The sequence below is a fragment of the Homo sapiens genome, chromosome 4 (genome assembly GCF_000001405.40).
Source record: "Homo sapiens chromosome 4, GRCh38.p14 Primary Assembly".
NCBI lineage: Eukaryota > Metazoa > Chordata > Mammalia > Primates > Hominidae > Homo > Homo sapiens.
The window spans coordinates 78,500,401-78,512,535 of record NC_000004.12 but is presented as its reverse complement, the minus strand read 5'-3'; the positions used below and the strand labels follow the sequence as shown (position 1 = coordinate 78,512,535).

Sequence of the window (12,135 nt, the reverse complement as noted above, 5' to 3'; positions counted from 1 at the left end):
TTATGGGTTGCATTTTTGTCATTGTACCAGTTTAAACTTTGAGCGTGTTTACTGAAAGTGTGTTTTGAGTTTATATACTTGTCTCTCTGAGCAAAGAGTCACATTTTTAAGTAGAATCAGAACCCTGGAAGTGAAGAGGAGGGCCTTTTTTCTAGGAAGGGGTCACCAAGATACATTTTATTGTGTCAGGAAAGAAAGAAGCATGTACATATTCATTCAAACATGTTTTATTCATACAAAGGAACTCATTTTTCTGAGTTTATGAGCAACTGAGTTGTTCATAAAGGCACACACTTAAATACTATAGTGTTTAATAAATACGCATAACATACACAAATTCTTTTTTGCTATGCAAAAATGAAAACATCCATTTCCCATCATGGTGGCCCAGAAAAAAATTAAGTCCAATGTCTCCTAATTTCTACAATGTTATTATTCATTTGTTCAGTAGATATTTAGGAGTGCCTCTTAGATGCCAAGAAGCACTATACTGGCAGAAGATACTCAAAATACATACTCATGGTCTTCAGGCCTTACCATCTACTAAAGGGCAGAGAGAGTGAATGCTAATAATCTTCTAAAAGAAGCATATACAGGTGCCAGAGAAGCCAGGAGGGGAAGCCTCCAAATTAAATTAGGGGAGATGTTGGAAATGTCCCTAGAAGAGATGCCATGCAGTAGGTATTGTAGGACAGTAGGGTTCCGGCCAGTGGAAGGGGGTTAGGGAGAGTTGAGGTAACAGCATGGCAGAGATATGCAACCTGTAAGAGTCTGTAGCACTTGGGAAGTTACTCATGATTCCTTGTGGTTGGAATGGCCGGTGAAAATGACAAGGTGAGAGAAAGACTAGGAAGATAGGCAGGGGGCCCGAGCTTGAGGGACCTTCACAGATTTAAACTTTTACTGATGCATTCATCATCACATTTTTATCATGCAGAAGCATCCCTTATTGATTGTCCTGGGAAACACACAAAGGAGACCTGAGATTCACTTCAATCTATGTGTGGTGGAAGGCACCACCTGCCTGACCTGTTCGGATGCTCCTTATGTTTGACATCCAGGTATTTCAAGGTTGCGATGAAGGACTGAGCCTGGAAGCCTCTGGATGTCCCAGCCACCACTGGTGTGTGGCAGATAGCACTGTCTGTTCCAATGGTAACAATGTTGCTCCTTAAGGGGGTCCCCACATGGCCCACCTTGTCCACAGCCTTGGCCACACAACGCACATGGAACCTCCGGCTGAAGTAAATGCTGTCCAGGACCTAACAGGAAGAAAAAATCACCTCCAATGTGAGTACCCTACTTAAACAGCTCCTTACATGATCTGGTTCAAGTTAATCTGTAAAGATCATCCATCCACCCATCCATTGATTTTTCCATCTATTCATTCATTCATCACGTAATTATTGACTTTTAACTATGAACCAGACACTTGAGACAGATCAGTGAGTACTTATAGCCTAAGGGGGTAAGATAGTCAACAAGCAAGTAGACAGATGTGGAGCACAAACCCATAGATGAATGATTTCCATTAATAGTATTGTTCTCTTTATATACTAGGCTCAGCAGAAGGATGACCCAAGTGTTATTCAGGCTTCTAGCAAGACTGGTTGGCCTCCAAATCACTGTTGCTGAGAGCATGATGTCAGGAGACAGAGGAAATATGCTTCCTTCCCAGGAATTCTCATGGTCTCTTTATCCTACTGTTATCCTCCCTCGATCATCCCATCTCCCTACCCAGTGACCACACACTGCAAGGGTTATAATAACATGCAGGCTTGAAGCTGAGAACTTGGCCTCTGACACCTTCTAGTCTTTGAAGGTCTTTCCACAGATTCCTCCAAGTCCCCAAACATACAGAAGCCCTAAGAGTGCTTAACTCAATCTATGCAGAGGCAATGTAGGTCACCAGGACTCTTTAGGTTATGTGTGCATTTACATAGGGAAGTATATAACAAGAAAAATTAATCAGTAGTTCTGTGTGCCACAGACCTCTCACAAAGCAATCACACAAACTTATACATTTTACCCATGAAAACAATTTTCACTGAAGTCCATTAAAAACTAAAGAAAATTTTTCCATTAAACTTTTTTTTAATTAGCTGCCAATGCTTTACTTATTTATATATACATGAACTTAGTACAGAAGGGATTTGAGGCATCCTACAAGAATGCATATAATAGAATGGCATTAAATAAATAATTGAAGAAATCAAGATAAAGTGACGGAAACCAGGGTAAAGGGTATTAGTCACAAATTCATTGCAAGAAGAAAACCTGAAGCATAAAGTCATAAATTTATCTGTTAAAAATGTACATTTGGCTCCAACCAGACCACACCTCCTTTACAGTTTTGTTGAAGACAGAAATAGATACTTAAGAAACAACAAGCTGGTAATTCTTGCCATGTTGATTTTTTAATAATAGAGAAGACTATTTAAATTTGAACTAGGTTATGTTGCAAAAGAATTGCTCTTCAGGCCTTTCTGAATAAGCTGTGCCAAAGAGAGTGGGTATGAACGACCCTGCATTATCCAAAGCCTCCCATCTATGTCTAGTGGTTTTCCTCTGCTATTCATCCCAGTGAAGCTCTTATTACAGTGGGAATAAACTGTGGAATGAACAGGAAAATCTAGAGAAATTTGGTCTGAAAGAAATCTCTGATGTCTAAAATCATTCAGTGATATAATTTTAGGCAAGAATTGTTGGATGCTTACTACATGCCAGGTACTATATACTAAGCCTGAATCTCAACTGCTTTCAGCTCACTTTTGGAAGAGAACCAGCTTTATCAGTATGATGTGCAGGATCACTGTGGTGGGCTGTTTGTTAAGGTTGGGAAAACATACTATTCATTGTTCTCTGATGGTGTCAGGGGTGTTGGTCTCTAAGCTTTTTGAGGACAGCAACTGCTGCACAAATGTCTTTTCATGGCCTCCCATAGAGCTTTGTAACGTGCTGATCATTCAGCAACCATTCTATTCTTTTATTTAATAACTGGTCCCCTCTATGTGCCATCGATGTCCTGGCCATTTTGGGCCATGTTTCTACTGCATTACAGAAATGTGGTAGAAACTTTGGTTCATGTCCATAAGGAGTTATGTGTTAATACTTATTGAACGATTGGAGATACATTAATAGTAATCAACAGCGCCTATCTGGAGTTTTTCACTGACTTTGTCATTTATAGGTCACATTTTTCAATGACCTTGTCAAGTAGCCAAGCAAAAGAATTATTACTTTGCAGATCAGGAGACTGAGACTCAGAGAGATTAAGTAACCTCTTAACATTATTTAGTTTAAAACAGGCAGAACCAGAATTTGCAAACAGGTCTTCTAACTAGCTTAGTTTTCTATTACAGCATATAACCTTTTCTTATGTATAAGAGTAAAAAGACTGTGCACCTGCTTATTTGTTTTATTCCAAATGCCATGCATGGACCATAAGGAATTTGATTATCTGAGTAACAAAGAACAACACCAGTTCTCTCCCAGGGAGGGAGAACCAGGCCCAGACCCCCAGACCTACCATGTGGTTGACACTGGTGAATGGTGTGTTGTCAGTGATGGTTTCAAAGGGAGACCGGGCCCCATTGCCATCAGTGGGGGCAGCCACTTCCCAGCTGAACTGCACAGATGTCTGGTTGATGCCGGCCTCACTGCAGCGCTCCTTCATGACAGCGTATCTGGGGAAATGAGGGTCGCAGGGGGTGACACAGACCAGTGGGTAGCCTGGGGAGGGGGATTTCTTGACTCCTTCCTTGGTAACTTCTTCCACATGGTCATAGTCAGCAAGTGTGACCACCTGCGAAAGAGCAACAAAGCTTCAGTTCAGGTTGGGTATTGGCAAGGTCAGAGAACTAAGCCCCCTTTCTTTAGAGATCCACAAGATCTCTTAGTGTCTACAGGTTCTTTGAAATATAACAGGAGAAGTTTTTATAATTCTTTGCCAGGCATCCTTAAAAGATACTGCAGATCTTTAGTGGTGGAGAAGATTCTTCTACTGGTTGGGCTAGAAGCTTTATTATCCTTTTAGTTTTATTCCTAAATCAGAGCCCTATCACTCATGTAAAAAAATACTCTGATTTTCCTGCCCATTGGAACCAAAGCTGTATCATGAATAGCAGTTGCTAGTTTAAAGTTGCATTAAATAGTTGATGGTATATAGTAGAACATTTGGCAAAATAAGAGTAAATAGAGGTGGTATATTTCTTCCATGGCCAAATAAGAGACACATTTTGAAATAATCATCATTCTTTTCTAATATATGAGACAAGTTAGCGGAAGTCAGAAGGCTTCTTCTGATTGCTTCACAATTATGGGTTAAATTTTCCTTGGCAACCTCTAGGTGTTTTCCTCTTAATTGTAAGGACAGTGCATTCATTCTATTCACCCCAAGTTAGGAAATCTGGTACTACCTTCCCACAGGTACTTAATTCTATAAATATAGTGAATATGTGGGATGATAGATATGAGGTAGTATTACCTTCTTACTCTTCTAAGTCCCATCAAAGAAATGAGAAGATCAATTGTATTGTATTTTCTATCTTTATCAGACTAAGATACCAACAGGATTTGGTCTCACTTTTAGGTCAGAACAGGGTTTCTTACCCTCAACACTATTGACATTTGTGCCAAATAATTACTTTTGTTGTCGGGGGCTTCCCTGTGCATTATGGGATGTTTAGGAGTATCCCTGGCTTTTACCCACTAGATACTAGTAGCACCTGGTGTGACAACTGTGACAACCAAAAATGTCTCCAGACATTGCTTAAATGTCCTCTGGAAAGGGGATGATGGAAGGCAAGATGGCTCCTGGTTGGGAACCACTGGGTTAGAAGAATAAAGAAATAGAGTACTTCCCTTCAGTTCTCATCTACTAGTCACTGAGACGTAAAACAGCAATCCTTTGGGTCAAGCAACTCACAATGGGTGGTGCTGGCAATATGAGGCTCCCTGCTGCCTCCTGGTCTAGAATTGTCACCGTGGCAGTAGTCACATCCCCAAGAACTGCTTCCACTGGGTCATCTGGGCCAAGGACTAGTGAGAAAGATTCATGCCATTCCCGGTCTTCATTGGACAGGATCTCAACTTTAAAAAAGATATGATCCACACCTTCGCCAAGGACAGAACAAAAAGAGAGCAAAGGCTTCATTAGGAAACACACCCAAGAGAGTGCAGCTTGGCACTGCTGAGACATTATGTTAAAATATGTTCTTTCTTTTTAGTGGTGTTCTATAAACGCAGTGGCTGCTAATCACTTTAGCCCCATCTCAAGTGAGGAATCTTTTTTACAGACCAAATTCCACCTGTGGTAGAGGCTCAGTATTGCAGATTTACTGTTCAACACCATATGAGGATTAATGGCCCCTGCCTGACACTGGCTGGCAGTAATAAAAATCTACGATCCAAAATACACTTCACCCTGGTTATGAGTTTTTTTGCTTAATTTTTCTTTCCCCCTTACATTTTGCATGAGCTCCTGTTTGGCTGTGAGGGCTTGCACATACAGATATCCTTCAAAGCTGTCTCCTGAGAAGTAGTGGCTCAAGGTTATCTACCAAGCCAGCCTCCACAAAGATGGTAACATGGAGGGTGAGTGACCTGGAACAGGTGAGGGTTCAAGCCTTCAAGACCCACTTTGGGTACCGTTCCAAGATGGCCGAATAGGAACAGCTCTGGTCTGCAGCTCCCAGCATGATTGACGCAGAAGACAGGTGATTTCTCCATTTCCAACTGAGGTACCTGGTTCATCTCACTGGGACTGGTTGGACATTGGTGCAGCCCATGGAGGGCAAGCTGAAGCAGGGAGGGGCGTCGCCTCACCCGAGAAGTGCAAGGGGTCGGGGGATTTCCTTTTCCTAGCCAAGGGAAGCCGTGACAGACTGTACCTGGAAAAATGGGACACGCCTGCCCAAATACTGCACTTTTCCCACAGTCTTAGCAACCAGCAGACCAGGGGATTCTCTCCCATGCCTGACTCGGGGGGTTCCATACCCATGGAGCTTTGCTCGCTGCTAGCGCAGCAGCCTGAGATCAACCCGCGAGGCTGTAGCCTGGCTGGGGGAGGGGTGTCTGCAATTGCTGAGGCTTAAGTAGGTAAACAAAGCGGCTGGGAAGCTCGAACTGGGGGGAGCCCACCACAGCTCAGGAAGGCCTACTGCCTCTATAGACTCCACCTCTGTGGGCAGGGCATAGCTGAACAAAAGCCAGCAGAAACTTCTGCAGACTTAAACGTCCCTGTCTGACAGCTCTGAAGAGAGCAGTTGTTCTCCCAGCATGGCATTTGAGCTCAGAGAACAGACAGACTGCCTCCTCAAGTGGGTCCCTGACCCCTGTGTAGCCTAACTGGGAGACATCTCCCAGTGGCAGCTGACGGACACCACATATAGGTGCATGCCTCTGGGATGAAGCTTCCAGAGGAAGGATCAGGCAGCAATATTTGCCGTTCTGCAATATTTGCTGTTCTACAGCCTCTGCTGGTGATACCCAGGCAAACAGGGTCTGGAGTGGACTTCCAGCAAACTCCAACAGACCTGCAGCTGAGGGATCTGACTATTAGAAGGAAAACTAACAAACAGAAAGGAATAGCAGCAACATCAACAAAAAGGACATTCACACCAAAACCCCATCTGTAGGTCACCAACAACAAAGACCAAAGGCAGATAAAACCACAAAGATGGGGATAAACCAGAACAGAAAAGCTGAAAATTCTAAAAACCAGAGTGTCTCTTCTCCTCCAAAGGATCGCAGCTCCTCACCAGCAACGGAACAAAGATGGATGGAGAATGACTTTGGCGAGTTGACAGAAGTAGGCTTCAGAAGGTCGGTAATAACAAACTTCTCCGAGCTAAAGGAGCACGTTCTAACCCATCACAAAGAAGCCAAAAACCTTGAAAAAAGGGTAGACGAATGGCTAACTAGAATAAACAGTGTCGAGAAGACTTTAAATGACCTGATTGAGCTGAAAACCATGGCACAAGAGCTTCGTGATACATGCACAAGCTTCAATAGGCAATTCAATCAAGTGGAAGAAAGGATATCAGTGATTGAAGATCAAATTAATGAAATAAAGCGAGAAGAGAAGTTTAGAGAAAAAAAGAATAAAAAGAAATGAATAAATCCTCCAAGAAATATAGGACTATGTGAAAAGACAAAATCTACATTTGATTGGTGTACCTGAAAATGATGGGGAAAATGGAACCAAGTTGGAAAACACTCTTCAGGATATTATCCAGGAGAACTTCCCCAACCTGGCAAGCAAGGCCAACATTCAAATTGAGGAAATACAGAGAACATCACAAAGGTACTCCTCAAGAAGAGCAACCCCAAAACACATAATTGTCAGATTCACCAAGGTGGAAATGAAGGAAAAAATGTTAAGGGCAGCCAGAGAGAAAGGTCGGATTACCCACAAAGGGAAGCCCATCATACTAACAGCAGATCTCCTGGCAGAAACCCTACAAGCCAGAAGAGAGTGGGGGACAATATTCAACATTCTTAAAGAAAAGAATTTTTCAAACCAGAATTTCATATCCAGCCAAACTAAGCTTCATAAGTGAAGGAGAAATAAAATCCTTTAGAGACAAGCAAATGCTGAGAGATTTTGTCACCACCAGGCCTGCCTTACAAGAGCTCCTGAAGGAAGCACTAAATATGGAAAGGAACAACCAGTACCATCCACTGCAAAAACATGCCAAATTGTAAAGACCATTGATGCTATGAAGAAACTGCATCAATTAATGGGCAAAATAACCAGCTAATATCATAATGACAGGATCAAATTCACACATAACAATATTAACCTTAAATGTAAATGGGCTAAATGACCCCAATTAAAAGACATAGACTGGCAAATTGGATAAAGAGTCAAGACCCATCATTGTGCTGTATTCAGGAGATCCATCTCACATGCAGAGACACACGTATGCTCAAAATAAAGGGATGGAGGAAGATCCACCAAGCAAATGGAAAGCAAAAGAAAAAAAGCAGGGGTTGCAATCCTAGTCTCTGATAAAACAGATTTTAAACCAACAAAGATCAAACGAGACAAAGAAGGCCATTACATAATGGTAAAGGGATCAATTCAACAAGAAGAGTTAATTATCCTAAATGTATATACACCCAATACAGGAGCATCCAGATTCATAAAGCAAGTCCTTAGAGACTACAAAGAGATTTAGATTCCCACACAATAATAATGGGAGACTTTAACACTCCACTGTCAGTCAATATTAGACAAATCAATGAGACAGAAGGTTGATAACGATATCCAGGACTTGAACTTAGCTCTGCAGCAAGCAGACCTAATAGACAGCTACAGAACTCTCCACCCAAAATCAACAGAATATACATTCTTCTCAGCACCACATCACATTTATTCTAAAATTGACCACATAATTGGAAGTAAAGTACTCCTCAGCAAATGGAAAAGAACAGAAATCACAACAAACTGTCTCTCAGACCACAGTGTAATCAAATTAACACTCGGGATTAACTAAACTCACCCAAAACTGCACAACTACATGGAAACTGAACAATCTGCTCCTGAATAACTACTGGGTACATAATGAAATTAAGGCAGAAATAAAGATGTTCTTTGAAACCAATGAGAACAAAGACACAATGTACCAGAATCTCTGGGACACATTTAAAGCAGTGTGTAGAGGGAAATTTATAGCATTAAATGCTCACAAGAGAAAGCAGGAGAGATCTAAAATTGACACCCTAACATCACAGTTAAAAGGATTAGAGAAGCAAGAGCAAACAAATTCACAAGCCATCAAAAGGCAAGAAATAACTAAGATCAGAATAGAACTGGAGGAGATAGAGACACAAAAAACCCTTCAAACAAATAAAGGAATCCAGAAGCTGGTTTTTTGAAAAGATCAACAAAATTGATTGACCACTAGCAAAACTAATAAAGAAGAAATGAGAGGAGAATCAAATAGATGCAATAAAAAATGATAAAGGGGATCTCACCACCGATCCCACAGAAATACAAACTACCATCAGAGAATACTATAAACACCTCTATGCAAATAAACTAGAAAACTTAGAAGAAATGAATAAATTCCTGGACACATACACCCTCCCAAGACTAAACCAGGAAGAAGTTGAATCTCTGAACAGACCAATAACAGGCTCTGAAATTGAGGCAATAATTAATAGCCTAACAACCAAAAAAAGTCCAGGACCAGACGGATTCACAGCCAAATTCTATCAGAGGTACAAAGAAGAGCTGGTACCATTCCTTCTGAAAATATTCAACAATAGAAAAAGAGGTAATTCTCCCTAACTCATTTTATGAAGCCGGAATCATCCTGATGCCAAAGCCTGGCAGAGACACAACAAGAAAAGAGATTTTTAGACCAATATCCCTGATGACCATCAATGCGAAAATCCTCAATAAAATACTGGTGAATCGAATCCAGCAGCACATCAAAAAGCTTATCCACCACGATCATGTTGGCTTCATCCCTGGGATGCAAGGTTGGTTCAACATATGCAAATCAATAAAGGTAATCCATCACATAAACAGAACCAGTGACAAAAACCACATGATTATCTCAATAGATGCAGAAAAGGCCTTTGACAAAATTCAACAGCTCTTCATGCTAAAAACTCTCAATAAACTAGGTATTGATGGAATGTATCTCAAAATAATAAGAGCTATTTATGACAAACCCATAGCAAATATCATATTGAATGGGCAAAAGCTGGAAGCATTCCCTTTGAAAACTGGCACAGGACAAGGATGCCCTCTCTCACCACTCCTATTCAACACAGTATTGGAAGTTCTGGCCAGGGCAATCAGGCAAGAGAAAGAAATAAAGGGTATTCAATTAGGAAAAGAGGAAGTCAAATTGCCCCTGTTTGCAGATGACATGATTGTATATTTAGAAAACCCCATCATCTCAGCCCAAAATCTCCCTAAGCTGATAAGCAACTTCAGAAAGTTTCAGGACACAAAATCAATGTGCAAAAATCACAAGCATTCCTATACAACTATAATAAACAGAGAACCAAATCATGAGTGAACTCCCATTCACAATTGCTACAAAGAGAATAAAATACCTAGGAATCCAACTTACAAGGGACATGAAGGACCTCTTCAAGGAGAACTACAAACCCCTGTTTAATGAAATAAAGGAGGACACAAACAAATGGAAGAACATTCCACGCTTACGGAGAGGAAGAATCAATATCGTGAAAATGGCCATACTGCCCAAGGTAATTTATAGATACAATGCCATCCCGATCAAGCTACCAATGACTTTCTTCACAGAATTGGAAAAAAACTACTTTAAATTTCATATGGAGCCAAAAAAGAGCCCTCATTGCCAAGACAGTCCTAAGCAAAAAGAACAAAGCTGGAGGCATCACAATACCTGACTTCAAACTATACTACATGGCTACAGTAACCAAAACAGCATGGTACTGGTACCAAAAGAGATATGTAGACCCATGGAACGGAACAGAGGCCTCAGAAATAACACCACACATTTACAACCATCTGATCTTTGACAAACCTGACAAAAGCAATGGGGAAATAATTCCCTACTTAATAAATGGTGCTGAGAAAACTGGCTAGCCATATATACAAAGCTGAAACTGGATCCCTTCCTTACACTTTTTACAAAAATTAATTCAAGGTGGATTAAAGACTTAAATGTTAGACCTAAAACTATAGAAACCCTAGAAGAAGACCTAGGCAATACCATTCAGGACATAGGCATGGGTAACGACTTCATGACTAAAACACTAAAAGCAATGGCAACAAAAGCCAAAATAGACAAATGGGATCTAATTAATTCCATCGGTCATCAGAGAAATGCAAATTGAAACCACAATGAGATACCGTCTCATGCCAGTTAGACTGGCGATCATTAAAAAGTCAGGACACAACAGATTCTGGAGAGGATGTGGAGAAATAGGACCGCTTTTATGCTGTTGGTGGGAGTGTAAAAAGTTCAACCATTGTGAAAGACAGTGTGGCAATTCCTCAAGGATCTAGAACCAGAAATACCATTTGACCCAGCAATCTCATTACTGGGTAGATGCCCAAAAAATTATAAATCATGCTACTATAAAGACACATGCACACATATGTTTACTGCGGCACTATTAACAATAGCAAAGACTTGGAACCAACCCAAATGGCCGTCAATAATAGACTGGATTAAGAAAATGTGGCACATATATACCATGGAATGCTATGTAGCCATAAAAAAGGATGAGTTCTTGTCATTTGCAGGGACATGGATGAAGCTGGAAACCATCATTCTCAGCAAACTATCACAAGGACAGAAAACCAAACATTGCACGTCCTCACTCATAGGTGGGAACTGAACAATGAGAACACTTGGACACAGGGCAGGGAACATCACACAATGGGGCCTGTTGGAGGATGAAGGGCTGGGGGAGGGATAGCACTGGGAGGAATACCTAATGTAAATGACGAGTTAATGGGTGCAGCAAACCAACATGGCACATGCATACCTATGTAACAAACCTGCATGTTGCGCACATGTACCCTAGAACTTAAAGTATATATATAAAAAAAGACCCACTTCTTTTTTTGTAAGGTGAGTTTCTGAAGGTGCAAATACCTCATTGAAGTTAAAGCCCCTTTCTTAGTCTACAGACATCCGGGTTAAGTTCCTTCTAGACCTATCCTTTCCCCAGATCTTTATGCGGAAAAGTAAAAAGTGAAAGACAGTTCCATCTTGAGATATGGAAGGAGGGCATCTAGCTTTCCAGCAAACATCAGTCAGACACAGATGGGATGGAGCCAGAAGCCCTTTAAAGCTCTGGTGAGGGGAGAGAAAATAAAGACCCTCCCCCTTCAACCCCCATGATTTCTGAGGGCATCATTTTCTCCCTCCACTTGCCAAGACAGCTCTAAAAAGTTCTCCTAGCACTGTTGCCCTCCTCTGGCTACGTCGCAAATGGTGTCAGGATCTATACCAGTTAGATTTCAGAAAGTTCTGTGAAGAAACCTAGCATACAGTTCAACCCTTTTCCTGTTTCATTCTCCCCATCAGATTAATACTTAAATGTCCTCCGAAAGGGGGATAGTGGAAGATCACAGACCTTTAAGCTGTGATCTATGACCTGAACGCCATCTCTCTC

General features: G+C 41.2%; 1 protein-coding gene across 1 annotated transcript in view, besides 1 other annotated feature; it reads right to left on the bottom strand.

The window, feature by feature from the left end:
• The window catches only part of FRAS1 (Fraser extracellular matrix complex subunit 1), a 486,947-nt gene that overhangs the window by 31,734 nt on the left and 443,078 nt on the right, over positions 1-12,135 (bottom strand). The window contains exons 62-64 of the mRNA NM_025074.7: positions 4,928-5,115; positions 3,530-3,805; positions 1,030-1,262 (exon numbers count right to left, since the gene is read on the bottom strand). Of these exons, the coding sequence (NP_079350.5) occupies positions 1,030-1,262; positions 3,530-3,805; positions 4,928-5,115 (697 nt within the window). The remainder of the gene's footprint in view (positions 1-1,029; positions 1,263-3,529; positions 3,806-4,927; positions 5,116-12,135) is intronic.
• Positions 5,907-6,201: a silencer, noted in NCBI's record as "tiled region #1185; K562 Repressive non-DNase unmatched - State 22:ReprW". NCBI's record gives its function as "represses a minimal TATA promoter and a strong SV40 promoter by Sharpr-MPRA in K562 cells {active_cell/tissue: K562}" and the evidence as "EXISTENCE:reporter gene assay evidence [ECO:0000049][PMID:27701403]".